This window comes from Homo sapiens, chromosome 18, assembly GCF_000001405.40.
Source record: "Homo sapiens chromosome 18, GRCh38.p14 Primary Assembly".
Lineage (NCBI taxonomy): Eukaryota > Metazoa > Chordata > Mammalia > Primates > Hominidae > Homo > Homo sapiens.
Window position 1 is genome coordinate 49,019,953 of NC_000018.10, and position 3,750 is coordinate 49,023,702.

Below are 3,750 nucleotides of genomic sequence, written 5' to 3' on the forward strand. Positions count from 1 at the left end.
TGAATGTGTGTGATGTGTGTGTGTGAATGAGTGTGTGTGTGTGAATGAGTGTGTGTGATGTGTGGTGTGTGTGTATGTGTGTGTGTGCACGTACATGCGCGGATCCCTGTGAGTCTGGGACTGAGTGAGGAAAAGTGCTCCAAGGTCCCCCAGGCCACACATCCACTGTTTCCCAGCAGCCTGGCTCCTGCTGTAACTGCTGAGCGTGAAGAGCTGGTCCCCAGGCAGCACCGGGGTGACAACCATGAATGTGCTCCACACAGGAGCGGGGTGTCAGGCAGGAGGGGATGGTCTCTCTTGCCATCAGGCTGCCCTGGCTGTAACCCTCGCTCCAGCTTCCTGCCCCGGCATCCCCCAGCAGCTCTGGGGCAGGAGGAATCGTGGCCAGCCCTAGGGACAGGGGACTTGGGTGGATATGCAGACTCCCCCACCCCCGGCCTTCTTCTCCACCCAGGGAGGCTGCCCTTTGCCCCTCACCCTGTGCCCCATGCCTCTTCCACCCTCACCCCTTCTATAGATCGTCACAGACCCCAAACCAGGCTCCCTGGTGGTGGCTTGCTGTGGTTTGGGGTGGAAGTCTGGCAACCCAGACCCTACCCCCATTCCCCCATCCTGGCACCTCTGCTCTCTGAATCCCCTGAAGGCTCAGGTGGCCTGAAGTTGTCTTTCTTGCCTCTGGGGAGCTGACATTGGAAGCCCCAGTCATGGCCTCTCCCGAGTCCAGACCTATGTCTCCGGTGGTTTCTGCATGTCCACAGGGATGTGTCATCCCCACTACAGACTCGGCATGCCTGAAAACAGCCTCCTCACCTCCCCTCGGCCCCAAAACGCACCACCCCCTCCACTGACATCCTCCCAGGCGCCCAGCCTGAGGCCATCACCTGGAATCAAATCCCACCAGCACGGACAGAGGCGGCCGCGTGGCGGGCAAGGGGAAAGAGGCGCTGGCTCTGGAGCTGGGGAAGCTGGGTCCAAGCCCCTGCAGTCCCTGTGTGAGCTGGGGCCCAGAGCTACCTCCTGAGGCCTCAGTTTCCCCTCTGTTTCGGAGCTGGTGGGAGAGTGACTGAGACTGGGTGAAGTGTGTGGAGAGTGGCAGGGGGCTCGTCCAGTGTGGGTCCCGGATCCCGCATGGGAACCCTTGCAGTCGTCAGGGCCTGGCTGCAATTGCCTGTGAGGGCCCTGCCTACCCTGGCCTCCCCTCCGCTCCCACACAGCTGTCCAGTTCCACCATGACCTTTGCCAAGCCATGCCCCGGCTCAGACCCCTCCAGGGCCGGCATGGTCACCACACTGGAGTCCAGTGCCACTGCCCCCACTGCCACAGCTGGGCCCTGGCTACCCCTCTAGCCCTTCACCAGGACATCCCATCCCCACCTCTCCAGGCAAAGCGCACAGCTAGTGTGGTCCCCCACCTCCATCTGCAGCACGCAGCCCCCAGGGGCCCTAACTCACCCCCTCTTCCCTCACAGGGCTTCCCTGCCGTCCAGTGTTGGGTGAGAAAGGTGGAGGGGACATGTAGCCCCGGATGGAGGTGCAGCACCAACGAGAGAGCTCCGGCCTGTGGGAGGGACGCTCAGGCTTAGGTCAAAGCCAGGAGCTCCGGGAAACCTGGGTTCAGCCGCCACGCCCCACGGAGGGGACACACCCTTCCCTGCCTGATGGCAGGGCCCATGGTAGACAAAACCCATGACCTCACCTCTCCTGGCTCCAGGGCTCAGCCCTGCCCACTTCTGGAGAATTCCATGACTCAGGTAACAGAGGAGGGGCCTAGCCAGTCTCAGAGCCAAGGTCACACCGCCCTACACCTTGCTGTCCCCACAGCATCTGCAGGAGGAGCATGCCAGGACCAGAGACCCAGGGAGCAGCCTCACCAGAGGGAAAAGAGCCTGTAGAGTGGTGAGCTCAGGTTTGTAGCTCCCGCAGGCAGGGCATGAGGGGCTGGGAGGCGGGGCCTGGGCCTGGCGTCAGGGAGGTTACCTAGCAGACGGTCCCACAGTCCACACTCAGGGCTGCCAGGTACAGCTGCATGGGTTGTGCACTGCTTAACTGCAGAGGGCGCCCCACACACAGACTTGACATGCTGGCTGGACCACAACGTGATGGCCCTGATTGTTACACACAGACACATACACACGCACGTGCACACACATGCAGACACACACATACATGCACACGCATGCATACTTGGGTCCACACAGCCTTTTTTTTTTTTTTTTTTTAAAAGAGGTGGGTCTTGCTCTGTCACCTAGCCTGGAGTACAATGGTATGATCATAGCCCACTGTAGCCTCGACATCCTGGGCTCAAGCAATCCTCCCGCCTCAGCCTCCTGGAAATATAGGTGTGTGCCACCACACCCAGCTAGATTTTAAAATGCTTTTTAGTGGCAAGATCTCACTATGTTGCTTAGGTTGGTCTTGAACTCCTGGGCTCAAGTGATCCTCCCGCCATGGTCTCCCAAAGTACTGGGATTACACACAGCCTCTTGGGGAGTTATTTCACACCTGTGTCCTAATGGGCTCACACGGCCTCTGCCCTGTTTAAGGATGGCAACAGTGAAGTAAAGGAGTGACTGTTGGGCAGGGGAATGGGCTTGGAATGGAAGAGCTGACCTGAAACCACTTTGCTGGGCCTGCCACATGTTCTCAAATATCAAAATCATCATCACAGCCCTAACTAGGACCCACTGGGCCAGGGCTGGGGCCACCCTCTCCACTGGCCATGGCCTCAGCTGAGTGGAGCCACTTCCCATTCTCTGAACCTGCCTTGATTTGGGGCTGACCAAGCCCTTGCTCATGGTGTCCCCAAGCTGGATCTCCCCCATATGGACTTTGAGGCACAGATGAAATGTGACGTTGCACGTGGAGGCTGCCCTGGCCCCTGGAAGGCCTGCACCACCCACCCCCGAGGCTGCAGGCTCTCCCTTCCCTGGGCTCCCGCCTCCCCTCCCACAGGCGTGCCCATGCCTTGCCTCTTAGGAGCTCCCCTCGGGATAACACTTCCAGCAACACACACCTGTGAGGCATGGACCATGGATGCATCAGGCTCTGCTCTGAGGGCGCCACCTTGCAGCACGGGCTTAATCTTCGTAACAGCTTTGCGTGAACATCAATTATTACCTCCATTTTATAGATAAGGAAATGGAGGCCCTGAGAGGTCCCACAGCCAGTACGTGCTGGAGTGTGATTGGAACCCAGGTGGTCTGTCTCCGGGGTCCATGTTCTTCAGCCCCTCTATGATGCTGCCTTCCCTCTTTTCAGGCTCTGGAGTGAATGGTGATGGAGCCTTGGCTTGGTGTGCTGGACACTTGCTTGGTGCCCTGAGCCACCACGTCCAAGTCCAGCTACTGTGAGGTCCCATGCTGGGAGGAATCCCAGGCCCTAGGCCAGGTTCCAGCTGACAGCCCCGGCTGAAGTCCCAGACCACAGCCAGCGTCGCCCCCCAAGACCTGAGGGAAGACATTCACGTCCAGGTCATTTTGGCTCCAGCTTTGGAGACCTGCCAGTGAGCCCTAGACATCATGGACGGGGCAAGCTGCCCCTTCTGCGCCCTGTCCGATCTCCTAACCACAGAATCTGGGTGCATAAGAAAACGGTTGTTTGAAGCAGCTGAGTTCTGGCGTTACTTGTCATGCAGTAACTGATAAACAAAACAGCTGCCACCTGCTTCCTGCCCACCCTGTACAAAGACTCCTGTCACCACGGAGCCTGGCACCTCTGGGTGGCTGAATTCATTGTGCTCATTTCTGCGTGA